This window comes from Homo sapiens, chromosome 3, assembly GCF_000001405.40.
Source record: "Homo sapiens chromosome 3, GRCh38.p14 Primary Assembly".
Classification (NCBI taxonomy): Eukaryota; Metazoa; Chordata; class Mammalia; order Primates; family Hominidae; genus Homo; species Homo sapiens.
This window is the reverse complement of record NC_000003.12, coordinates 45,482,695-45,509,613: the sequence shown is the minus strand read 5'-3', so window position 1 is coordinate 45,509,613 and position 26,919 is coordinate 45,482,695. Positions and strand designations below refer to the sequence as shown.

Below are 26,919 nucleotides of genomic sequence, written 5' to 3'. Positions count from 1 at the left end.
TGTATTTACATGATAATTGGGTACACAGCACTAGGCAATTAATTGGAGAGCTTACAATAAGAACAGGCAGCCCAGGACATGCTCATAAATAACCATCAGCACTACAAGAAAGACGTACCAAATGTGATTTGGAGGCGCAAGGTGCACAGGAATGAAGGACAAAGGACATCAAGGGCCCTGCTGGACTTGGAACCCAGGCCTGCTGGAGCAGAGATCACATCACATTGCCAAGTTCATTATTCAGATTCACAATTGGGGTAATGTGTTTCCCTTTTGTTCACTCATTCATTCACTCAACAGATGGTACTTGGGAACAGACTTGCGTATGCAACTGAGTTATTCATTCATCATAGTGACTGTGCACAGCAGGGGCCTTTATAAGTGAGTGGAAAATCTGCAACTCTAAACCACTAACAAACCGTTCTGACTCAGGGACCATCAAACGCGGGAGTATTAGGCAGGGCCTCTGCCTTGAAGAAGGCCCTGGATTTCTGAGTCAGCTTTCTTCCTACTCCTTCGGTACATCCCTGGAGGTAGATCATGCTTGCTTGCACTGAAGCACAGCTATATGTAAGCACAGTGATGAAAACTGGGGGGAGATCTTCACAATTTCTTCATTAGTTTAGACTGCACTAACTCAGAAATTGCAACAACTGATAGCTGCTGGGCATTGAAGGCCACATTTGTCCCACTTGGAAGAAGGAAAGAAGGAAGGGAGGGAGGCAGGGAAAGAGGGGAGGAAAGGTAGGGAGGGAGGAGAGGGAGGAAGGGAGGGAAGGAAGGGAGTTGCTAATTATTAGGATAAACAAGGAAATTCAGAACATTGATTGATTGGCCATGTTAAGTGCTCTTAAAAAAATCACTATATACAAGGAATGTGCTAATTACAGTATGAGCAAAGAATATCAGGATGTATCAGAGCCCCACCTTCTTGCTGCAGATGACATTTACCTATTCATGAAGCCCCAGAGAGCCTGCTGCCCACTCCCCTGACCTGGTGCGAGAGTGGCCTGCCAGGCTGCAGATCTTTGAAGGCCATAGATCTCTGAAAATGGTCTCCAAATTGGACTTTTCATTAAATCAGACTAAGTTTACCTTCCTCTTCTTCCTTGTTCTGTGCCCAGGGCCATCATGTCACATAATTAGCCTAGTTTCTAAGTATTAGCCATGGCTCATTCTTGAAATATCACCATTCCCATTTCCTAGCAGCCAGTTAGTGGCGCAGAAGGAGGGTTTACTAATACAGCAGGACCCAAGTAAAGCTTCTCTTCCCTTCCTGTTCCTTTTCCCAGTAGCCCCGTTTCTGGCATGATCAGAGTAACAGAGAAGAAAGCTCTGTGGATAGGGGCTTGCTGTGCTCTCCACGGTCAGCAGGCGGCCTGCCCTTCTCATGGGAGCTCCCTGAGCAGCTGCTTGCTTCTGACAGCCACCACTTTCTGTTGATTCCAAACTGAAGGGAGAAATTCAGTTTGGGGAATTTAGTGTCTAAGTTGCATTACAGAGCTACAACAAAAAGTGACAAGATTCCATGTTTACAGCGGTCTCCCACAAAGGGAGAGAAAAGGCTTCCTGATCTCATTCAGTGAAGATGGGCCATGACATGTTCCCACGCTCTAATGTGCCCCCTCTCTTTCAACCTGGTGCTAACCACCGGAAGGAGGGAAGCTGAAAGCTGATCCTACCCCACACCCACAACCACAGCAGGAGGCTCAGCATATTTTCCTTCTTTGGAATATATACCATACTGTAAATGATAAAGTTACACAATCATTGTAAAAAATCTGGAAAAAATCAGAAGTATATTGGGCTCACCACCCAGAGATAGCTAGTGTTAACATGTTGGCATGAGTTTTTCAAGTCTTTTCTCTTGCTTTGAGTATGTGTATATATGTGCTTGTATATATAAAGACAAAGATAACCAAGCTGTATCTTGCTTTTTCTATTTCTCATTACTTCAGATGAATTTCTCCATGTTATTAAACATTCTTTGTAATTTAATTGAAAGTGTTGTATAAGTGTGCTCCACGTAGATGGATTATACTTTATTTACCCTGTCTCAGCATTTTGGGGCATTTAGATTGTATCCAAATTTTTAGCTACTTGAAATAACACTTACATGAACATCTTGGTGCATAAGTTTGCATTTCTGATTATTTCCTTAGGATAGATTTTTAGCAGTGCAATTAGTGCACCCAAAAATGAATAGTTTTAAGGCTCTCACTATGTATTGCCAAACTGCTTTTCAGAAAGATTGTTCCAAGCTACTTCCTGCAATATATGAGAGCTGCTCTTATGCTAGCTTCCTTACTACATGGAAGATGGCATCTCACTGCTGAATAATTTATATTTGCCAGTGAGGGAAATTTTTTTTTTTAAAATCATAGAAATGGGGTCTTGCTGTGTTGCCCAGGCTGGTCTCGAACCCCTGCACTCAAATGATCTTCCTGTCTTGCAATCCCAAAGTGTTGGGATTACAGGTGTGAGCCATCGTGCTGGGACGGAAACATTTTACAGTGTAAGATGTTTATTATTTTATAGTGTGATAAAATGTTTATTAATCATTTGGATATCTTCTTTTGTGGGTTTCCTGCTTACATTAATTCCCGGTTAATCATTAACTTGGTATTTCAGATCACACAACTAAGGCACCTGCTGTCCTGTGTGGTGGCACACTTAACTTGGAGGCCAGCCTCTTACGTAAGGTAAGGAGACCTTAAAGTACAAACTGCAAGCCTAACTGTGCAGGTGATGAAAAAAAATGTCCACAACTCTTACAAAACAGGAAAGATGATTAGATATACATAAACCTTTGCTGTCTGTATTTGAAGAAATTAGAATCAGAGTGAAAAGAGTGCTCAGAGATAACTGAGTTCCTAACATATGAGGCCACTGAGACCCAAAGGAGTTCAGCTTCTTGTCCACACAGCTAATCAGGGGCACCACTGAACATGGACAGAGGTCTTTGGATTCCTGTTTCACAGCTGCTACTTGAGACAAGGGCTGAGGGGCTCAGAAATGTTAAACTAAAATGGAATAGCTGTACTATCATCTCAAATAGCCTCCTGAAATTACAATGCTAATCAAAAGGAATACAGAACTAGACTAGGAAATCCTGATTTATACAGATTTCAGAAATACACATGTGGTTGACAGGTCTCAATTTTTCCTCCCAGCCCAGCTTGATAAAGTTGTTTGGAGGCTCTCAAAAATTCTGACTGTAGAATTCCAAATTACTCATCTCAGAAAGTGGGTGATTTTCATTTCATGTGTGGCTGACTGGTTTACCAATACACCTCTAAGAAAGAGGTAATGCACCGGGAGAGTTTTCAGAGGCTGTTGCTGCCCTGATGTGATCCAACAAGAGTAATGCTGACAGCAGCACTGAGTAACAGTTAAGATGACTTTCTGTACCTTCCTCAAAGGTCAGCCTTTTCAGTAATTAAAATAAGTCTCTTTTGGAGGAGGAAAGCATGGAACGGAATCTTGAACAGAATTTAAAAACAGATTCAAAAAAACAAAACTCCATAGGTCTATTTCAATTTACACCATATAGTTGTTCCTTAATGTTGATGGTAAAGCAAAATCCAAGTGTTACCTGGAGGATCTGCAAATTGGCAATGCATTTGAGTGAAAACAAAGTCATATTTGAAACTGCATTTTAAAATTACATCAGCATGCAGCAAACCCTTTTTCCTGCTTGAATATAGTCTTAAACTATTGTAAATAAGTCATAAAAATAGTCAGACCCTGTCCTATACCTTAGGATACTTGGCCATTGAATAATTTACTGATTGAATACTTCCATAAAAAATCATTCAGAAACTGGCAGAAATATGCTCTACTGTTAAGGAGCTAGAAATCACTTACATATGGTCTTTGTTTCCAGACCTACATAAGAAGGAGCTATTCCCCCAACTTTTTTTTGTAGGCAGTGTCTTACTTTGTTGCATAGGCTAGCGTGCAGTGGCAATCATGGCTCACTGCAGCCTTGAACTCCTGGACTCAAGTAATTCTGCTGCCTCAGACTCCCAAGTAGCTGGGACTACAAGTGTGCACCACCACACCTGGCTCATTAATTTTTTTTTTTTTTTTAACAGATGGAGTCTCACTACGTTGCCTAGGCTGGTCTCAAACTCATGGCCTAAAGTGATCCTTCCACCTTGGTCTCCCAAAGTGCTGGGATTATAAGCATGAACCACCACGCCTGGCCTGAGATGTTTCTCAAGTTGTATTTGGTTTTTAACTTAAGTTTGAATCAATTCTCTCTAGCCCATGGAGGATATTTCCTTTGTTTCTTGTTTTGTTTTAGAAACAGGGTATTCCTATGTTGCCCAGGCTGGAATCAAGCTCCTGGGCTCAAGTAATCTTCCCGCCTCAGCCTCAATCTCAGCTTCTGGAGTAGCTAAGAACATAGGTGTGCACAACTGCATGAACTGGAGAACATTTCCTCTGAAGAATATAAACTTTTATCTGTTTGTTTCAAGGGATTAAACTCAATTTCTTTTTCTTTTCTTTGCTTTTTTTTTTAATTTTTAGACAGAGTCTTGTTCTGTCACCCAAGCTGGAGTGCAGTGGCACGATCTTGGCTCACTGCAGCCTCCGCCTCCCAGGTTCAAGCAATTCTCGTGCCTCAGCCTCCCTAGTAGCTGGGGGCTACAGGCGCATGCCACCATGCTCGGCTAATTCTTGTATTTTTAGTAGAGATGGGGTTTCACCATGTTGGCCAGGCTGGTCTCGAACTCCTGACCTCAAGCAATCCACCCGCCTTGGCCTCCCAAAGTGCTGGGATTACAGGTGTGAGCCATCACATCCAACCTAAACTCAATTTCTTAAAAAAAAAAACAAACAAAACAAAACAAAAAAAACACTAAAAATGTGTAGTATCTGTGAGACCATGACAGTAACAGGACACAATTCCCATTATCAATGACAATCTTTATCTAGTTAGGTAAATTAGTTTCCAGACATAAGAAATGCAAAGCAGAACTGGCAAATTCTAGAACCTAAAGTACAAACACTTTAACAAATTTGTTTATGTGAGGAGTAATGCTGTTAATGTTTTTAGTGTCCTTCTGATGCAGACCAGTTTATTTTCATACATGAAGGTCTCTGGGGCTGATGAGAATAAATTTATTTTAAGCATTTAATTTAGACCCTAAATTAATTTTCTGTACAGTAGACTTCTTTTAATCCATGCATGCATGTGCAGAGTCGGCCATCTGGTCCGAGGGTTAAGTGAAGGGAAGGAGCTTTCAATGTGCTTCATTGTAATGAAAATGGGTTTCTGTCTGCATTTCAAAAGTTTTAAAAGTAATATTTTTCTATCTATCAAAATTTTAAAGACACATATTTTTTGACCCAGAATTCCCCAGTGTTAGGACTTGAGCCTACATATATGCTCCCAATTATTTGCTAAGCGTATAATAAAGAGGATCACTGGACTTAAAAAAAAATAGTAATTGGAAGAATAGGTGACCGCTTACATAAATTATGGTATATCCATATGAGGGAATACTATGCCTACATTAAAAAGAATGTGATATCTGTTTGTGCTGATATGGAAAGACCACCAAGCTACATTATTAGGTCAAAGAAGCAAAGGACATGTATGCAATATAAGCAACATTTAAAATGACTATATCAATAAAAACACACGTGGGGATAGGCAAAATATTTTCCTGGCAGAAATAAAAAGAAACCTAAAAGTCGAGGAAAGGGCTAAAGAGTGGCGTGCAGGGAGGGAGACAACAATGTTCACTTTCTGTGTAGTTACAAAATGGTTTAGACATGTATTACTTTTTTTTAAATTGTCAACATGGGTTATCTGGATAGGGAAATAATCAGATATTTCCCCCCTTTCCTTCTCTGTAATTAAAAAATATTCTAAAGGATGTTGTAGTAAACAAACAAACAGAAAAACAACATAACAACAACTGAAAAAAAAAATCCAGCAATTATGCTTCTGGTAATACAGCAGACAAGAGAGCCTGAATTATTGTCCTGATGAAAAACAAGTGAAAAAGTCAGTTGGAGTATAAAATACATTTGAGCTGGCAAAACCAAACCAAACCCAACTTAGGAAAACACAGTTACTGAAGCCAGCTTCCACCCTGGGCATAGCTATAGAACCCCTGTGATCATAAATGTTTGTGCATGGCATGGTACACAAAAGATGGGACACCAAACCTAAAGCCTAAGCAACCTTGGGAGTCTAGAAGAAGATCTCAAACAAGGCAGGAATCGTCACTGAACCAGAAATCATCAATGAACTAGAAATAAACCTGTGGTTAGAAGAGACAAACAAGGAAACTTGCCTATCTTGACCATGGTGATGTATAGGAGGAAAGAAAAGTATTTCTCCTGAGAATCTGTAGACAGAAGTTGACCCTCATGTGGGTTTGGGACTGTATTCGTATTACCTATATGGTCCTAAAAACCTCAAGCAGAAAATTCAGTTTAAAGTGATCTTGGATTGGTAGCATCTCCAGGCAACAGGGAGAAGCTAACACAAAATCACCTCTAGCAGAGAGGTTCCAAAGAGTTCCTACAAAAAAAAAAGGGTTCAAGAAATATAAGGTCAGTTAAAACACCCCTTGCACCCCATCCCCCAAAGAACTAGGCATCATGAGTGAGAACAGCAGAAACAACAAATGACTAAACAGACCCATAATGACATTAGATAAAGAATTATCAGATAATATAAAATAGTATGTTTAATCTATTTTAGAAAATAAAGTCTTAAAAGATACCATGAAAATACTACAAAAATCATAAAGGAAAATTTAAAAACCTAGAACTTCTAGAAATGAAGAATAATTAAAATAAAAAAACTCAAAGAATGGGTTAATCAGCAGATAGAGACAGAGAGACAATTAGAAACTGGAAGATAGCTATAAAGAAATTGGCTGGGCACAGTGGCTCATGCCTGTAATCCCAGCACTTCGGGAGGCCGAGGCAGGCGGATTACTTGAGGTCAGAAGTTTGAGACCAGCCTGCCCATCATGGTGAAACTCCATCTCTACTAAAAATACAAAAATTAGCTGGGCGTGCTGGTGGGCGCCTGTAGTCCCAGAATAAAGATCCTATCAATAAGCCCTGGGATATATGACAACTTGATTTATGATGGAGAGGGCACTACAGATCAGTGGGGAAAAGGATGGACTATTCCATTAACAGTACTGACACACCGAAAGCAGTAGCCATAAAGGAAAGATTATTAATTTTTACTACATTAAGAGTTTCTGTTCATCAAAAGATGCCATAAAAACAAGACAAGCCAAGAACTAGAAAAAACTACTTGCAATACATATAGCTGAAAAAGGATTAGTATCAAGAATATTTAAAGAACCCCTTACAAATCAATAAAAGAGAAACGATCTAGAAAAAATAAAAGCATAGGATACAAACAGGGATTTGATCACAGAGATTCATAAACCTATGAAACATGATAAACTTCATTAAGAAATCAACTATAGTCAACAATAACTTAATTAAACATTTAAAAATAACTAAAAGAGTATAATTGGATTGTTTGTAACACAAAGGATAAATGCTTGAAGGAATGGATACCCAACTTTCCATGATGTGATTACTATGCATTGCATGCCCATACCAAAATATCTCATGTACCCCATAAATATACACCTACTATGTACCTGCAAAAATTAAAAATTAAAAAATTAAAAAAAAATCGGTGTCTTGAAATTCAAATTTAACTCACAACGTGACCCATTATATACCCACTGGTTTGGTGAAATTTAAAAGTTGGATAGTACAAAATGTTGATGACGACGTAGAGTGATCGGATCCCTCATTTCTACTAGTGGGAGTATAGGCTTAGGTAATCACTATGGAAAACAGTTTGGTGTTTCTCAAGACAGTTGAACACGTGCGTATCCTACAATCGAGCAATTCTACTCTTAGGTACACATTTTAAAGAAATGGTGACGCATATGTCAGGAACCACGTGCAAGAAGGTTCATAGCAGTTTTGTTCATAATTGCACAAAACAGTCCAACCACCATTAATGGTGGTATGATACATAAACTGAGTTCTATTTTGGAAGTTTCATTCCATATAATGGAATATCACGCAGCAGTGAAACAGGAATGAAATATAACTTCATCCGTCAGCACTGCTGAATCTCAAAAAACTGTTGAGTGAGGAAAGCAAGACAGAATACCTGAAATATAATTCTACCTATGTAAAGTTCAAACACAGGAAAACCAGACAATATATAGTTTAAAAATACATGCAGAAACGATACATTTATAAAGAAAAGCAAGAAAGTGAGGAATTAAAAATCTGGGATCGGTATTAGCTAGGGGCGAGGTGGTGGGCGTAGAAGAGCGATACACAATTGGAGGGGGCACCTTGGGGATTCTAAGGTACCTGAAATACTCTGTTTCTTAAACTGAGGAGTGGGGCATGTATGTTCATATATAAAAATTCCATATTTAATGTGTTGTACCATTCTTTAAATACATTAAATATGTAATTTTTATATATGATACGTTTCATGGGGAAAAGTACACACACATTTTTCTGAACATTATGAGGAAAGGGTTACAATAGGCCAACAGGAAAAGAATTTACTGATGTTTTTACAATGTGATTCTCTATTTCAAATCCACTCTATACATTTTTTAGAGGGATGCATCAAGGTGGGATTCAGCCAAGCTTAGGAACAAGAGCTGACATGGAAGGACTGGGTGATAAGCATGACCTCACATGAGATGCTATAAAACACTATGGGCCACTCCTCTCTGCCTCACAGGTACAATTCTTAATTACTTAACTCAGTTAAACAGAGAAGCACTGAAGGCTAGGTTCTATGCAAGCATGCAACATCACATGCCAGAACTGACTACGCAATATAAATGGACCTCAAATGATTAAGGTTGACAACCTCTAAAGCATACTAGAAAACTAGTATTCTACTACATGCATTTACCTTGCTTCAGAAGAACTGACACCTGCTTAAAGTTGCTATTCATGGAACTCAATTATTTTGCAAAGCAGTATAAGTGCTTACCTATGTTTAACCATTTTTTGATCATGGCAAAAATGACTAAAGAATCTTGCATAGAACAAGTGCATGACGGCATGTTCTTTCCCTCCAATGTACAAATCCACAGGCATCCAGTAATCGGCCACTGCTGTGTTAAAAGGGCTGTAAAAAAGAGATGGAGGCATTTTTAAAAACCTGCTTTGCCACAATTGTGTAAATTAAACAGGCCTATTGTAATATGCATATGCCCTGAAATGAACCGTATCAGGGAATAACAATGATTTTTTTAAAATATAAGAGAAGGCCGGGCGCGGTGGCTCATGCCTGTCATCCCAGCAGTTTGGGAGGCCGAGGCAGGTGGCTCACCTGAGGTCAGGAGTTCGAGACCAGCCTGCCCAACATGGCGAAACCCCATCTCTACTAAAAATACAAAAATTAGCCAGTTGTAGTGGTGGGCACCTGTAATCCCAACTACTCAGGAGGCTGAGGCAGGAGAACCACTTGAACCCGGGAGGCAGAGGTTGCAGTGAGCCAAGATCGTGCCATTGCACTCCAGCCTGGGCAACAGGGTGAGACTCTGTCTCAAAAACAAAACAGACAAACAAACAAACAAACAAACAAACAAAAATATATATATGAGAAAAGCTTATATAATAAAAAAGAAAAAAGTCAGGTAAGTGTTAATTTATGAAATTATAAAAATGGTTACAGAAGATATTACTGACATATTTCAACAAAAGCAATTTGCATATAAAATGAGGACAAAAGGAAAACATACCAGCAAAAAAAGGCATCTTGCTACAATGCACCTTGAATATCTAGATTCACTTTAATTTTTATTATTATGATTACACAATTGAGATGTCAGAGTTCCTACCAATAGAGGGCAATGTGGTATTTACAATGAAGATTAACATGCAGATACTAAATGTTTATTTATTAATTTATTTTCACATTAAAAAACATTTTTTTTTCTTTATTAAAGTTTGGGTCTTGCTTGGTCACCCACGCTGGAGCGCAGTGGCACAATCATAGTTCACTGCAGCCTCCAACTCCTGGGCTCAAGCGATCTTCCAGCCTCAACCTCCCAAGTATCTAGGACTACAGACACACACCACTCTGCCCAGCTAATTTTTTCTTTTTTTTTTTTAATTTTCTTTTTGAGACGGAGTCTCGCTCTGTCACCCAGGCTCGGTTGCAGGGGCGTGATCTCGGCTCACTGCAACCTCCGCCTCCAGGGTTCAAGCTATTCTTGTGCCTCAGCCTCCTGAGTAGCTGGGATTACAGATGCCTGACACCACACCAGGCTAATTTTTATATTTTTAGTAGAGATGGGGTTTTGCCATGTTGGTCAGGCTGATCTTGAACTTCTGACCTCAGGTGATCTGCCTAACTCGGCCTCCCAAAGTGCTGGGACTACAGGTGTGAGCCACTGCACCTGGCCATCAGTTAATTTTTTTAAAACATTTTTTATGGAGACGAGGTCTTGCTACGTTCAGTCCAGCTGGTCTTGAACTCCTGGCCTCAAGTCATCTTCCTGCCTCGGCCTCCCCAAGTTATGGGATTACACATGTGAGCCACTGTGCCCCAGCTGTAAATGTTTATTTTAAAATAGAAATTTGATTTTATTTTTTAAAGCAGTCTGAAAATATACTCAGCTAGAGACTGTATATTGCTTACTGAATGCGATGCAACATATTTAAGGTGACTTGTCATATAATAGCCCAATAACTCTCACCTAACAGATACTAATAGAAAGGCTTTCTCATACTCTTGGGTCCTAAAGGACACTGGAGAGGAAAGGAAATGTCATTTCCATTTTCTGGCTGGGACCTTCGGTGGGAGGGGCAGCACTGGCTGGCGACAGACCTCTGTGTTGCCAAGGTAATGCCGTCCCTTGAGGTCAGCCAATCAAGCAAACCTTTGCCTTTGGAGGACTTCGAATATTTGTGAATTGGTTCCCTGACACCTCAAGCCACCTTTTTCCCCAGGATAGACTTGGCTGGCTTCAGCTTTGAGGCTAGAAAAAAGAGCCTGGCTACCACCACATATTTGCATCTTAATATAGTTTGGTGTTCTCCAGTCACTGTACCAGAATTCTGATAAAATTTTTAAAAAACACTTTTTTTCTTCGTGAAAAACAGTTCCCTAAAGAAATTCAACTGCCAATCCAGGCGACAGAAAAGAAAGGAAAGTGAAGGATGGTATTTGGCCGGAAAACAAGTTTGGGATATATTAAGGAGTGAAATGTTGAAAGTAGCTACAGCTCAGATTTATGATCCACTCAGGAAACCACCCCAGGAAGAACTCGTGCTGGGGCTGAAGCTAACTACAGTGTGTCATGAGGGAAATGAAGTGCTCACTGCTGTTCACAAACTGGGGGCTGTGACGGTCTCAGGATGTCTCTCCCGCCACGGTAACTTGAGGTCTCTCTCATCTGTGTGAAGGCTTTCCTTTGAAGCACTCTGAGAAAGGAAAGAGCCTGACCTCACTTGCATTCTAAGCCAGTTGTTACTACATGAAATGCACCAATGGCCCCTTATAGAGGGAAGGCCCTGAAGGGGAGCCCCTCTGTGGGCCAGAGAAGGCCATGCTGGTGGTTCCCAGCCACAGTCGTCACCTTGCACCCTTCCTGCCTTTGCAGGGTGTCTTTCACTCAGGATCCCCCTCATTTCTTTTTTTTCTTTTTTTTTTTTTGAGAGGAAGTCTCACTTTGTTGCCCAGGCTGGAGTGCAGTGGCACGAGCTCAGCTCACTGCAACCTCTGCCTCCCGGGTTCAAGCGATTCTCCTGTCTCAGACTCCTGAGTAGCTGGGATTACAGGTGCGTGCCACCGTGTCCAGCTAATTTTTGTATTTTTGGTAGAGTTGGGGTTTTGCCATGTTAGTCAGGCTGGTCTCCAACTCCTGACCTCAGGTGATCAGCCTGCCTCGGCCTCCCAAAGCGCTGGAATTACAGGCGTGAGCCACCATGCCTGACAAGGATCCCCCTTATATCTGATATGAACTCAAATTACAGAATCACAACACTGCAGGTTGAAATTCTGGCAGGGTGAGGGCAGGAGTATCTGTCTCACTAGAAAGATATTATTTTAGAACCACGAAGAATAGGGAGGCATATTTTATATGTAGGCAACAGGGTTCCAGAATGTTTCTGCCATGGACAAGAGCAATTAGGCAAGGCCCTTTTAAGCACAATGCTGTGTTTTTTCCTGGGCTCTGGAAGAGTTTCTTTCGGTTCTCATTCTCTCTCTTTATAAGGCTACCTACTGCTCTCTTTTCCTTAATTTGTTTCTTTTTTTGGGGGGGGCGGGGTTCAAATAAACACATGAATACAGCTTAAAAATCAAAATGGTACTGAAAGATTTACAATGAAAAACAGTGGTCTCCAGCCCCAATTCTTTCCTTGCCTCAGGCCTGTCTCTTAGCCACTTTTAATTCTTTTGGTTGTTTCTCCCAGCAATTATTGAAAAAAAAAAACATGTTTATACTCTTTATTGATTTATCAATTTAGGAAATGATCTACTATGTAGTAAGAGGTGAGGCTTCTTAGCGGTCTCACCCTCCCTACCTGCTACCTTCTCTGTAGAGTTACATTATTCTTTTCAGTTAAATAAATAACATTACATCTTTACAATCATACAAATGCAGTTCACTGCAAGGAGGGTATCACAGTAGCATTTCCTTCTTTTTCCGTTTTGTATTTGTGTTGTACTTGGGATTTACTTGGCTGTGAATAATCTAACTTAATGATGTAGCACTCTCCCTTTAAGAGAGCCTGTTCCGAGGTGCACAGTTGACTGACAGCTTCCAGCTGCTGCATCTGTGGACCCACTCTGGTGTGTTCCTGCCAGCCCATGTTGCTCTCCCAGGCTGCTCCCAGGAGAGTAGAGGGAGGGGCTGGAGCAGAGCCATTTTAGCCTGACTGTAAGACTCTAATGGACAAGCTTTGCTTGGGCCTTCCCACTGGCCAGGTCGAGGCTTTCTCAGAGTTGTGCTGTGGGCTGAGGCTCCTCCACCTGATCCTCCTTCCTTTCCCTTCTCCTTTCACACCTGTCACAGCTCCATCGTGGTCTAAGAGCACTCTCTGCCCACTCCTCCTCTTCTCCCCTTTAATCTGCACAGGCATTTCCCCCCAAGAAATCTCTTGCATGTCTAATTCCATCTTGGTCTTTGCTTCTAGGAGGAGCCACACTGACAAATGCTCAAAGACATCAGCAGGGACGTTTTACCTGTGTGGATTATGAGGGTCAGTGTATCTGAAGTAGTACCAAGCAGAATCAACAAAGGTATCCATCGTGTCTGTCTCTCTCTTGGCTGCTCCCTTGCACCTAAGAAAGAAATGAAATTCATCAATTGGTTTCTTTTTAAATTTTAATGCAGTTTTCCATCAGCTTTTGAGAGAGCTATAAGTATGAATTTAAAATGTCATAAGAATAAAGCCACAGGCTGGGTGTGGTGGCTCACGCTTGTAATCCCAGCACTTTGGGAGGCTGAGGTGGGTGGATCACGAGGTCAAAAGATCGAGACCATACTGGCCAACATGGTGAAACCCCATCTCTACTAAAAATACGAACAATTAGCTGGGCGTCGTGGCGTGTGCCTGTAGTCCCAGCTACTTGGGAGGCTGAGGTAGGAGAATGGCTTGAACCCGGGAGGTGGAGGTTGCAGTGAGCCAAGATCGTGCCATTGCACTCCACCCTGGTGACATAGCAAGACTCTGTCTCAAAAAAAAAAAAGAATAAAGCCACATATGAAAAGACAATTCAGGGAAAGCTCTCTTTTTATATTGTATAGTATGCGATGTTTTAAAGAAATTTATTTACAAATAAAAGTTTCAATTTTCAACAATTAAAAGCCTTATTTTCCACTTCTCTGAATTTAACCTGGTAGAAAGCCTCACCATCCAAAAGGACAAGACAGGATTAGGTATCTCTTTTGTGCCTTAACTTCTGTTCCAGGCATGTCAAGATTGCCTTCGCCAATGCCTACTTTATGATGCTTATGAAGCCAATCAATGCATGAAGACAAATGAGAACCAAATATAGGGAGATGTGTGGAAAATCAACTTGGATTTTTCTTCTACTTCTGTTCTGGGGTGACAGGTGCAGAAATCTACCAGGATGACTCGAGGAAGACAAACCAACTTGGAAGCCCCAAAGGCAATGGTTGCTCCAGCTCATGCCAGCCTGTAAGAATCAATTGGGGCATCTCTTCACAACACTGTGACAAAAGATGGCAAGTTGGTAGCTTGAAACTGGCCCTGATGGGAGTATGTACATCACGGAAATTGGCAAATGCTAGAAATCAGGACCCCCCTCCAAAGCTAATTACATATCTACCATGAGACCACTGCCTAAAGGTAGGTTCCTTATGGAAGAGTGAAGAAAGCCCTGGTGTTCAAGACAGAGAATAAAGTGAGATCCTTGATATGTGAAGGGTTGCATAGAAAAAGGAATCCCTGTCCTAGGGACAGACATGTCCAGCAGGACCAAGGTCTCACAAGGGCCCAAGTGTTACACTCATTATTTTTATTTTGAGATGGAGTCTGGCTCTGTCACCTGGGCTGGAGTGCAGTGGCTCGATCTCAGCTCACTGCAACCTCTGCCTCCTAGGCTCAAGCAATTCTCCTGCCTCAGCCTCCTGAGTAACTGGGATTACAGGTGCATGCCATGATGCCCGGCTAATTTTTGTATTTTTAGTAGAGATAGGGTTTCACCATGTTGGCCAGGCTGGTCTCGAACTCTTGACCTCAAGTGATCCGCCTGCCTCAGCCTCCCAAAGTGCTGGGATCACAGGCATGAGCCATCATGCCCAGCTGCTACACTCATTCTTAAGAACATTCCTAGAGTTGTGGGCCTGTGGGACTGAAGGAACCAGGTGCCAAAAGCCACACTACCTAGGAACTCAAAAGAAGGTGCCCTTAGTCAAGCCTAGCACAGGACGGGGATTAGCTGCCTTGGAGACTCCTCAAGGCCTGGATCAGCAGAGAACCAGCACCTTCTGTCTGATGGGTAGGACCAGCTATCAACAGGGCCTTCTGTGGCAGTGGGAAGCCATAGCAGGCTCTCCCTTCTAAGGCATGGATGTGAAGCTCATCGCCCCTCCAAATATTGCGCTTTGGGCAGTGTAAGTCTTTGGGTGTTATTGGAGAATTTGGGGAGAAGGGATGAGGAATCCCAAGAGGAACTGATAAATCTTCTGCTAATTTAGCATGTATGGGCTTGAGTGTATTTTTAATTTAAGAATAAAAGAAGGGTTGTATTTCTGTCTTCCATTTGTGAAGTAGTTCATACCAGCTTTACAAATATTACCCAAGGAAATGGCCAGTCCCCCACATAGTCCTCCAGCTCCCTCGTCAGCTGGTTAAATGCAGTGGCTGAGCAGAGAGCATGGGCGCCCTAGATCTGGCAGGGCTTTGGGACCCCCTGCATTTTAATCAGGGGACCTCCCAATGAGAACAGTGGTGGTCTCTAAGAGTAGAAGCTTTTCAGAGAGAGCCCTCGGGGAACCCAGCTTCCTACCACCCAGGGCTGCTCTAAGAAGCTGATCTCAACAGTGCGCCTCTAAATTGAAGCCAGGTCTTTTTATTTGGAGAGCAATCAACCAGAACACAGACACTACTTTGGGAAATAATTAGAAAATAAAGATTACTTCATCTTCCTCACTTACCTTGTGCAAGTGAGGTCCAAGTGAGGGAGAAAATGCGGGCTCAATTTATAAAAGGAATAACAGCTGGCTAACATTTGCCATGCTGATTTCCTTTTTAATGGTCTTGTTGGACTTGAAGGCAACTAACATGTTTTATTGCTGATACTAAAAACTAGATGATAAGGAAGAAGCTACGTGGCAAGCAGGAGGGATAGAAGTGATAGATAATGGTGATAATGTTATCAGGATTAGCTCCAATAGTAATAATAATAATACTGGGTAGTAGGAACTGAGCCAAGTACCGCAGAAGTATTATCTCATTTAATCCCCAGTAGCCCTGGGGATTATGAGACCGATACTGCTCATATCCCCATTTTTCAGATGAGTAACTAGGATTCAGAGAGGTTAAGAACCTTGTCCAAGGTCTTGTAGTTCAAGGGTAAGGAATCCACATCTGGTGGGCTCTGGTGCCTGTAGTCTGTACCACTGGGCTGCCTTGCTCGGCCACACTGGCTCAGTAGCTCTCAGCCTTGGATGCTCATTAAGATCATCCAGGGGCTGGGCGTGGTGGCACACGCCTGTAATCCCAGCACTTTGGGAGGCCTAGGCGGGCAGAACACGAGGTCAGGAGATGGAGATCATCCTGGCTAACACGGTGAAACCCCATCTCTACTAAAAATACAAAAAATTAGCCGGGCTTGGTGGCGGGCACCTGTAGTCCCAGCTACTCGGGAGGCTGAGGCAGGATAATGGTGTGAACGCGGGAGGTGGAGCTGGCAGTGAGCCGAGATTGCACCACCGCACTCCAGCCTGGGCGACAGAGCGAGACTCCATCTCAAAAAAAAAAAAGATCATCCAGGGAGCCTTGCCCAACACCAAGGCCTAGGTTCTGCCCTCCAGTAATTCTGCAGCCAAGCAGGAAACCTTATCCTCATCAATAAGGCCACAACTGCTGTGCTGTATGCAGGCCACCAACATCTCTGGTAGGGAAGCCCTTTGTCAGCGCTTATCAACAAAGAGGGTGTGCTATTTTCCTCCTGGAGCCAACATTTCTACCCTAAAATGGTCTGGGCCTTCCTATATACCTCCCTCCAAGTTCCACCTTGAATTTCAAAACTGCCTCAGTGAGGACCTGGGAGGATGGCTGGCAAGTCCCTGGCTGGATGGCCATAAAGTTTCTATTTATTGAAGGCCTAGAAGGTATCACTGTGCAGGATCACATGTGTTAATTCTAGTCTTCTGAAAAGCCCTTCAATGGGGTTATTTTTGTTCCTGATGAGGGATTTCACGCTCAGAGAAGGTAAATGACTTTCCCAAGGCTAGACAGTTAGTTAGGAGGCAGAGCCAGGACTTGAATCCATCACTGATTTGACACCCAGCTCAAGACTTCCAATTACACTACGTGGTTACCTAATTGTCAACCTAGTAACTCAGCTCTATACTGGCAGAATACAAAATTATTTTATAATATCCTCATCATGATCTATAAGGCAGAGAAAAATGGCTTCTCCGCAGAAGAAGGAAAATACTGGAACTTGGTATCTGCTATTTGTTTAATTAGCTGATATGGACAGCATCATTAAAAATCATGCTTGAGACATGCCAGTGAATAGACAGAAAAACATAATCCCACTTCCAAAATGAGGAGAAAGGAACCATGGTGCTTCAGCATATTAAAGAATGCAGCCCTGAGCACACTTGCTCTCTTAGCAACTACTCTGCTACTCATGATAAAATCTCCACTGTTGTTACAGTCACTATATTGGAAAACTGCAAGGTGGAGAAGAGAACATTTTCTCCCCTCTCCACGTGGCTCTTTGGAATATCAAAATGGAGGAAAGTGGTTTTTTACAAAGCTGTAAGGAAAATTTAGAGCTTTTCCATCAGTTGGATCAGATGTTTCTGGGATAGATCTGAACTGACACTGCTGCTTCCAACAGCTCAGAGAAGGGAGGATGCCCATTGCAGAGGCAGGGCCACAGATTCCAGACCCTTCTCTTAAAGGGCCCCAAAGACCCACAGTGTTCTTTCCAGCCTCATGGAAGTCAGGGAAAAAGGGAGCAGAGTTAGCACCAGGAGGGAGGAGGCTGTCTGAAGCCCTAGCAGGTATGGGGCCATAGGCACAGTCACCACTGCAGGGATGTGGCTCCTTACCTTGGGCAGGAGCAGTTCACCCACTCTGAAGCCATGGCCAGTGGGGGGCCTCCCTTGCCAGTGAAAGACGCGATGTTGGGCAGGGTCACAGGCAAGTCCTCCAGGGGCACAGGTGTGGGGCCACAGACTGGGCAGTGGACAATGGGGATTGGTGTGCCCCAGTACCGCTGCCGTGAAATCAGCCAGTCTTTCAGTTTATCACTTGTCACGTCTCCACCCACTCTCTTCCCCCGGGCTTTCTGAGTCAGGGCTAGAAAAGCATCCTGCCGGGTCATACCTGTGAACTGACAGGGAAAGAAAAGAAAGCTCACTCCTCTCCGCATAGCACCAGTCACCACCCTGATGCTGCCACCAGTCCTGCCATGTTTATGTGTGGCTCTCCCAAGGGACCAGTTCTGTGCAGAGCTGTGTCATAACTTTCATGAGCCCTAGGTGCTTCTGCCTTTGTAGGCTCCTTGCTCCTTCAGATAATATTAAAAATTATATTTTACAACTGCATCAATATAAAGACAAATATAACTTTTGACCCTAAAAGTTCATTTTTTTCTTCTGATTTTAAAAGAAATTAAAACTTTTGCAGAGGCCTCTAAAAGTATTGTGGGCCCTAGGCACTGTGTCTACTGTGTCTAATGTGTCTAAGTTGGCCCTGGTTCTGTGGCTTGCTTTATCACCAGAGCCCTGTGACACCTACAGAGATCATCAAATATCAGCTTTTAGCTGCCAGTACAGAACTGCACGATATGGATTTTTAATGACTACTCCCCTGTTGGGGGGAAAATATTCAGAAAAGAAAAATCCAATATTATCCTAAAGCAGAAGGAATTCAGGCAAGCAGAGGAACATTCTGAGGCTTCGGCTTGAAGAACCAGACCACTCTTTTTATATTTAAATGCTCCCGTTTTATAGACAGCAGGACAGACCACTAACAGTACAAAAGAGAAATTATCTTTTCACTTGGTGCTTTTCAGAGAGCCAAACTAATTATATGAATTGAGCCAGTGTGGCTTGGTAACAACCTGGATTGCGGGTACCCTCGCATTTGTTCAGTGAAGACCCACTGGGCATCTATACGTGCTGGGCTCGTGCTAGCCATTGGGGCCACAAAGATAAATATGATCTTCCCATGTCCTCAAGGAGCTTACAGTCAAGAGGCATAAAGAATAAGAAAATACAGCTATGTTTATCAAAAGCAGCCCTTTTCATGAATGGTCTGAAGTGTCTTTCTGCACTCCCATTATCACAGTCGTGATGCAAATCATAAAAAGCTCTCCTGAAAGTCAGTCTTCTCCTAACACCACTGTCTTTCCATTCCAGAAGCTCATAGATGAAAGCGGCTTTTCCCCAGCCATTCTCCTTCTACTTATTGAAATAATTATTTTACTCTAGATATTCAGCCTAGAGCCAGGAGAGGCTTCAACAGACCATCTGAAGCTGTGTGAAAGAAGCCAGGAAGCATAATTAATGCTCAGAGTACTGTACTAAAGAGTGGATGCTTCACTAGGCACTTCAGAAGCCTAATTTTGGCCACAAGTGTCCCCTTTCTTGCCCTGTAGAGGGTTAACTGGGGCTCCTTACAGACACTGTGATTTCGCTCTGCTCTACCTCCAGGAAACCTGCTCAAACAAGGTCTAAAAAAAGGCCTAAGGGTCCATATCTTAGAGCATGACTCATGTCTGGGGATGCAGTTTATGAAGTAAAGCCACAAACATGGGGTTATAAAACATGGACTCCTTACAAAGGAGAAAACCTGACCATTATTCCTTTATTCTATAGATATAAATATAGCCAGATAGTCACAAACCTGAAAAACTTGGATCTTCAGGTCTCACTGAATCAAGATCAGCCAAGATGGGACCTGTAAGCACCTCCCAGGTGATTCAGAGCCATGGCCAGGTGTGGCATCACTATGTTAAGTCAGTAGTTCCCAGACTCTGCTGCACATCAGAATCAACTAGGGAGCTCTGAACACTATTGATGTCTGATCCATGCCCCCCTCACCACCAATAACCATCAAATCGGAGTATCTGGAGTGAGACCCAGGCATCAGTATTATTTTAAAACTCTCAGGTGTTTCCAATGTGCAGTTAAGTTTAAGAGTGCTCTAAGCCAGTATTCTCAAACTTCTAATGTGCATACAAATCATATAGGGATCTTATTAGACTAGGGTGGGATCTAAGACACGTGATGCCAGTACTGCTGGTCCAGGGACCAGACATTAAGTGGCAAGGTTCTAAGCCCTTGATTCTCAAAATGTGTTCCCTGGACCAGCAGCATTAGCAGCAGTATCTGGAAACTCGTTAGAAGTGTAAATTTTGGGGTCTCACCTGGGACTACTAAATCAGTATCCCTGGGGTGGGGGTGGGGGCCAGGCTGTGATTTAACAAGGCCACCAGGGGACTCTGATGTGTGCTCAAGTTTGAGAATCACTGCTCCCACTACCTGCTCCCATCCCTCACCCTACCTCTTCCATCCTACTTTCCAGGTTAGTTCAACATAGAGGCTGGGCTCAAATCCTGCCAGATGTACCATCTTTAAGTGCTGCTGTTTCATGCTAGCAAGAGATAACCCTGACCAAATAAACATGACTCTGAACTTCCCTGTTCATTTCTATAAGTGAGTTACACTTTAGGCAGAAATAATGTCAGTAATCTGGAGAGAACAGATATCTCCTCTAGGAAAAAGAAACAATTTCAGTCACCTCTCCCAAGGAACCAGAGATTCCTTAGAAAAGATAATTTTTCTCAAGCAGAGATTACCAACACAAAATTAGTTACTTCGATACCATTCTATTCAAGGACTGAATTTGATTTACAATTGGCAAACTTCTAGATCTTGAAGAATATTATTTTGTTCTGATAGATATGAGGCCACAAGGCTGTTAGGTATGGGGACGAGTGAAGGAACAGGTTGTAATTTGCACCTGAAGGAAAATGTCTATCAAAGTCGTATCAAGGTGATCATTCTGGAAGTAAGTTCTTAGTCACCAACCTCAGCAGAGCTGCTCAGTCTCTCTGTGCCATCTGGCAAAGTTTCAATGACTTCAGAGTAGGCCAGGCCCAGGGTTTGGGCTAAGATGGTGTCCTCTGAGCTAGTACTGGGAATTCCTATTCAGAGGAGAAGAAAAGAAAACATTTCCTTCACAAGTGCCCAAATCACAAAACAACTGACAGTACTGACACCCAGGTTTAGCTTCTTAAAGGAGACTATCTCTTTTAGTTATAGAAGTTTTAAAACCACATCACATTAGTTGGGAAAATGGAACACGGTCTTGGAGAAACCCACTGCCAAAACACAACTAGTTTACCATATTGGTATTACTTCCTTTAAGTCTTTTTCCTCTGCTTAGTTTTTGTTTTTGTTTTTGTTTTGAGACAGAGTCTTGCTCTGTTGCCCAGGTTAGAGTGCAGTGGCACGATCTCGGCTCACTGCAACTTCAGCCTCCCGGGTTCAAGTGATTCTCATATCTCAGCCTCCTGAGTAGCTGGGATAACAGGCGTGCGCTACCATGCCTGGCTAATTTTTGTATTTTTAGTAGAAAAGGGGTTTCGCCATGTTGACCAGACTGGTCTCAAACTCCTGACCTCAAGTGATCGCCCACCTCACCCTCCCAAAGTGCTGGGATTACAGGTGTGAGCCACTGTGTCCAGCCTATTTTTTTTTAATAGTTACAATCCTAATATATACATTTTTGAGTGCTTTTTTTTGCCACTAAAAATTATAAGCATTTGTGGAAGCCTCTTTCTTGAATTCCCTCAGTGGCAGAGGGCAGTGGGGTTCTCTCAAGAAGCGGGGCTGACTCCTCCAGCATTTCCTAGCAGTCCTAGAAAAATCCACTCAGTCAGGAAGTCAAAAACTGGTAACTATGTTTTGTTCCCAAAGGCAATAGTACATTCTAAGTAGACATTTATTCTTTAACTCACATATGTCCTTGAGGAGAAGTTGAGCATTAATAAATCACTCACCCAGGGGGGCCAAGGCCTGCTGTTTTGGCTTCGGGTATTCATAAGAATGGGTTTTTTTTTCTTTTCCCCCCAGCTCTTTGGTTTTGTAAGGGCAGGATTTCTCAACCTTGGTACTACTGACATTGTGGACTTTGTTGCGGGGGCTGTCTTTTGCATTGCAGGATGTTGAACTGTACCAATAGCACTCCCTGAGTTGTGACAAACAAAAATGTTTCCAAAATTGCCAAATGTCTCTTGGTGGCAAAATCTCCCCTGGTTGAGAACCCCTGCTATAGGGTCATCTGTAAAAGCTGCTGACATACTCATGGATACAACACATTGTGTGAAAACTGAGAGATATAAAGCTAAGGGTATTACACAAGGTGCTTAAGTCAGATCTCGGAACAATGCCCTAAAACAGTGGTTGAATGTTTGGGAGACATGTTCTAAAGGTCCCAAACATGATGAAAAGCTCTGTGACATGATGGAAAGTTTTGTAGTGTTCTAGCTGAGATTATAGACAAAATGCATCTAATGCGTTGAATAAATGTTGAGTGGAGTTGAAGGTTGAGGACAAATGGCAAGCAATAAATATACTACCAAAAGGTGTTCATAGTCAAGAAAGGAAAATAGTCATTTACTACATTCTAAAATAGAATTTGGAAGAACCAGGAGTAATGTTTAAAAGGAGACACTGTAACCACAGAATGTATTTGGCCGTATAAAGAATGCCTCAGGCCATGGTGGTAGTCATGTTGTGCTCAGTTGAATGTGAACTATTTCTAACAGTGCAGGTGGGAGGCAAAAACACCACTTTATCTCCTGTTTATTTCTGCTCTTGTTCTTCTTGGAGGGCAAAAAGCAAAAATTTGGAAAAAGTTAATTAAGAAACTATGGGAAATCAAGACAACAGGAGAAACAGTTTTCCATATGCACCTAAAAAAATCCGATTTTTTTCCTTCAAAACTCTCAATATTGTGTCAGTAATGATTCAAAATATCAAACAAACAAACAAACAAAAAACTCCCCCAAAAGCCACATCAATAAAAACTGCCTTTATGTTTATCCCGGCTGGTTATATTAATAAATTTTACTAATTGTAAAATGCATAAAAGTAACAGAAGGAATTATTTCTTTAAACAACACATTTTCTAGGTTTAAATGGTTAGAAGAGAGTAACATCGATTTTCTGCTTTGACGTTTCTTCAAACAACTTCATGAAACACTGATCTGAGCGTTATGAGGGGAAAAATGTGAATTTAAGAAGAAATGCTATTTCTGTGTGCTAGGAAATAGTGTGGAAATAACTTTCTCTGCAAGGTTTCGGGACTCTGGGGACTGGCTGGAATCTACAGTAGGAATGTTGGAATGAAAAATGCACAGGTCTGTCCTAAAGGAGGCAGATTTTGGACAGAGCTGTCTTTAGGTTCCCTTCTCTTTGTTCATTCTCAGACTTCCTGTTACATGACGATAGTTTAGAATGCTCACGAATGAGTAAGGCTGCCAAGGACATCCAATTTACAGTTCTAAATATGCCTTCAATTTTACTGCTGTTTCACAATCCTTTTCTTGAATAGCTCGAGTTCGCCTCCTCCACAAAGCCTTCACCAAAACCCAGCCCACATCTATCATTTGTGCTTCATTTGAACCCCCGTCCCAGCAGTTGCTGTTGGTTCTATGAGTTTTCTTTTCTTCCTTTTTTTTTTAAAGCTGGTAGTATACCTGGGATGGTTCTATGAGTCTTGAAATTGGATTTTCATCTGAGTTGCATTGTTCCTCGTATCATATGTACAAGTCTTAACAACAAACTCTACTGGCAAGATTTGTAGGTCAGATACTTCTTATTCTCAGTAGCAACGAGCAAAGTACAATATACCTAGTATATTTTCAAAATGTAGTTCTGAAACAAGGGATGATTAAATGAAGGGTTATTCATTTTTATGAGGAGGCAAATCAGACCATGGAATCTATAGTCAGCTCTTCCAGATGACAGCAACAGGGGAGTATTTTGATTCTAAATCTGCAAAATATACCGTTGTGGTTACATTTTAATAGCTGCTTACCTATTTTTGAATCCAGAGAGCCTTCCAAGTCAGCTTTGGCCAAAATAACGACAGGGACCTCCTGCTGGGTAAGCATGTTCACAGCCATTACAGGCGTGAGGCAATCTGAAAATGAGAGCAAATAACTGTGGATGCCACTCAACTGAGACACCAACACCATCTGAATCTCAGAGGAAACAAGTGAGAAAAGTAAGCACTAGAACTTCTGTGCTTTCTGCTAATTGTTAAATAAGTTGTCCTTTGAAGGGTATTAATAGATAATTCACACCAGTGAATAATCAAAAGATTAAATACGCACATGAAAAAATGTTCTTCCATGCTCATGAAAAGTGAAAAAACATTTTTGCTTTCCAGATGTGGAGTAATGACATTCCCTTCACTGTCTTTTCCTTTTGAAAAATACCTCAAATATACAGAAGATGAGAAACACAAAGTCCATCTGTAGTGAAACCAGGGACATCAGAAATTCCAAACCATCATAACACTTGAAGATGGAAGTGGAGAGGGAGTAGAAAATGACTGAGCAGAAAGAAGGGAAGACATTTCCAGACATCCTAAGACAAAAGAGTTCCTACCCACTTACCCTTTTCTTAGGGGATACTACAGAATGTGTTCCAGCAAAATGAAGGGGTAAATCAAGAAAGAGACAGACATAGGATCCAGGAAACAAGGGATCCAACAAAGAAAAAAGTATGAGGACACTCACAGAACAAAGACAGAGGGAAGTTCTAATAGGCCAGGTTGCAGCAGAGGCCTGGAGAATGACCAGGTCAGATCTGAGCAGTACACAGTGCCCTGGGAAGCATCTTTGGGAAAATAAGGAAATGGATAGATTACCTGGCAGGTTGGAACGTGCAGAAAACTGCACTGAGAGGAGTTTCAAAGAAATATGGGGGGTGTACAGGAAGACTTAGCCAGAAATTCAAAGAATACAAAGTAAATGAAAAAAAAAGGAAGACATTATGAACTCTAGGAAAAATAAAAAGTTATATAAAAAGGAAAATGTATTTGGCTCAGTTGAACAATATTTATGTGGCCCTAATAAAACACTTAATTTGGATTTATTCTAACATTGTATTATTGTATTATGTTACAATACAATAATTCTATTACATTGTATTGTTATTTAAAATAACATCTTATTTTAAATATATATATATATATATTTTTTTTTTTTTTTTTTTTTTTTTTTTGTAGAGACAGGGGTCTTGCTATGTCACCCAGGCTGGTCTAAAATTCCAGGTCTCAAGTGATACTCCCACCTCAGACTCCCAAAGCGCTGGGATTACAGGCAGGAGCCACTGTACCCAGCTAACACTGTATCATCTTAAATGAAGTGTATTACAACTACTGTAACAAGGAGACAAGCCATACGTGCATATATGTGACTATATGGAGAGCTGGAAGCATAATGACCTAAGTAAAGTCCCAGTGGAAGAAGAGATGAGAGATGGTAGACAATTAGTGAGTTCACTTGACTTAATTTACAATATAAGCAATTAACAGTTATAACTTATGAATTCTTACTATTTATAATACTTGCCATGTTTTAAGATTTCATGTAATTATCTACTTTGCAAACCCCAAAATTAAAATAAGCCTAAGAATTAAATCTATATTTATTTTTTAAATTATTTTTAAGATATTTATTTATTTAGAAATAGGGTTTCACCCTGATCCTCCCACCTCAGCTTCCTGAGTAGCTGGAACTGCAGGTATGTACCACCAAACCCAGCTAATTTTTTTTTTTTTTAATTTTTTGTAGAGCCAGGATGTCCCTATGTTGCCCAGGCTGGTCTCGAACTACTGGGCTCACACAATCCTATCATTTTGGCCTCCCGAAGTGCTGGAATTACAGGTGAGAACCACTGTGCCTGGCCAGGGTCTATATCTCAAAGAGTAGTGACAGATTCTATAGGCATCTAAGCCAGCTCTTATCTTTTATCACCTTGGGTGTCAGGAAGCACAGAATGAGATATGGTAGGGAAACAGTGAAATGCAGCCCCAATGGGTCTCCAGCCAGCAGCCATGGTACAGATGTGTTAGCTGGGAGACACCTGTTGCTGCAGCTGGCTGAGTGCAGACTCACTTCTCAAAGTAGAGACCCATATTTCTGATTCCATACTATCTTTTCTTTTCTTTTTTTTTGAGACAGGGTCCCACTCTGTCACCCAGGCTAGAGTACAGTGGTGTGATCTCAGCTCACTGCAACCTCTGCCTCCCAGGTTCAAGCAATTCTGGTGCTTCAGCCACCCAAGTAGCTGGGATTACAGGCACATGCCACCACACCCAACTAATTTTTGTATTTTTAGTAGAGATGGGGTTTCACCATGTTGGCCAGGCTGGTCTCGAACTCCTGACCTCAGATGATCTGCCTGTCTCAGCCTCCCAAAGTGCTGGGATTACAAACATGAGCCATTGCACCTGGCCTCCACACTATCTTTTCTCAAAGAAGAAATGTGTATTTGCAAATTTTGCAATTATAATATGATGTTACCAGGAGGCTGGGAGGTGAGGGGTTATAGAATAAAAGTCACTAGGTAATATCTAGAACTGGTGAATCAAAAGACAGCAGTATAGGCATATACGGCACATGGACAGACATACAGATAGGGATGTCTATGCCAGAGAAACAGCAGGTGGCACAGACTACCAGTTGACCCCTGTACCTGCTTCCTCTTCTAACTCAGCAATAGAATGTTGAGTTGGACACATGGCTAGTGTGTTTAGCTAACGAAAGCACTGTTCAGCCTCCCTTGCAGCTAGGTGTGGCCATGGAGGATGTGCAGAAGCAACTGCTAGGTCACGGCCTCAAAGGGAAGGAGCATGCCCTTCTCCCCACCCTTCCCCACTTCTTACTTCACTGGAACGCAGATCAAGTGTAGACCAACTTAGAAACACAGAGAAGGACAGGACTCTAGAAGGGCAGAGCAGGAAGACAAGACAGAGGATAACTGCCCTAACCACCTCACAAAGTAGACTTTTCACACATGCTCAAGAGTTTCATGTAGGTAGAATAAACTCCTGTTTAAGCCTCTGTCATAGCCACTGAACTTGTATCCTAAGAAACATATACCTAAATAAAAGTGTTTGGTTAAGGAG

The 26,919-nt window shown here is 41.9% G+C and overlaps 1 protein-coding gene and 1 long non-coding RNA gene across 7 annotated transcripts in view, besides 2 other annotated features; one reads left to right on the top strand and one right to left on the bottom strand.

Annotated features, from left to right (window-relative positions):
- LARS2 (leucyl-tRNA synthetase 2, mitochondrial) overlaps positions 1-26,919 on the bottom strand; it is a 160,832-nt gene that overhangs the window by 39,794 nt on the left and 94,119 nt on the right. For all 6 annotated transcript variants that reach the window (NM_015340.4, XM_017006042.2, NM_001368263.1 and 3 more), the window contains 5 exons: positions 23,818-23,922; positions 20,802-20,917; positions 17,814-18,097; positions 13,241-13,339; positions 9,035-9,172 (listed from right to left, as the gene is read on the bottom strand). In NM_015340.4, coding sequence (NP_056155.1) covers positions 9,035-9,172; positions 13,241-13,339; positions 17,814-18,097; positions 20,802-20,917; positions 23,818-23,922 — 742 coding nt within the window. The remainder of the gene's footprint in view (positions 1-9,034; positions 9,173-13,240; positions 13,340-17,813; positions 18,098-20,801; positions 20,918-23,817; positions 23,923-26,919) is intronic.
- LARS2-AS1 (LARS2 antisense RNA 1) lies at positions 69-26,919 on the top strand. Its single transcript, NR_048543.1, has 4 exons — positions 69-257; positions 2,632-2,702; positions 14,114-14,370; positions 25,583-26,919. It is a non-coding gene; the product is annotated as an LARS2 antisense RNA 1 (long non-coding RNA).
- Positions 824-1,690: an enhancer, noted in NCBI's record as "H3K27ac-H3K4me1 hESC enhancer chr3:45549416-45550282 (GRCh37/hg19 assembly coordinates)". NCBI's record gives its function as "activates a minimal SCP1, AML or CMV promoter by ChIP-STARR-seq in primed H9 embryonic stem cells {active_cell/tissue: H9 hESC(primed)}" and the evidence as "EXISTENCE:reporter gene assay evidence [ECO:0000049][PMID:30033119]".
- Positions 16,279-16,475: a silencer, noted in NCBI's record as "fragment chr3:45534631-45534827 (GRCh37/hg19 assembly coordinates)". NCBI's record gives its function as "represses an EF-1alpha promoter that drives an FKBP-Casp9 reporter gene in an ReSE screen in K562 erythroleukemia cells {active_cell/tissue: K562}" and the evidence as "EXISTENCE:reporter gene assay evidence [ECO:0000049][PMID:32094911]".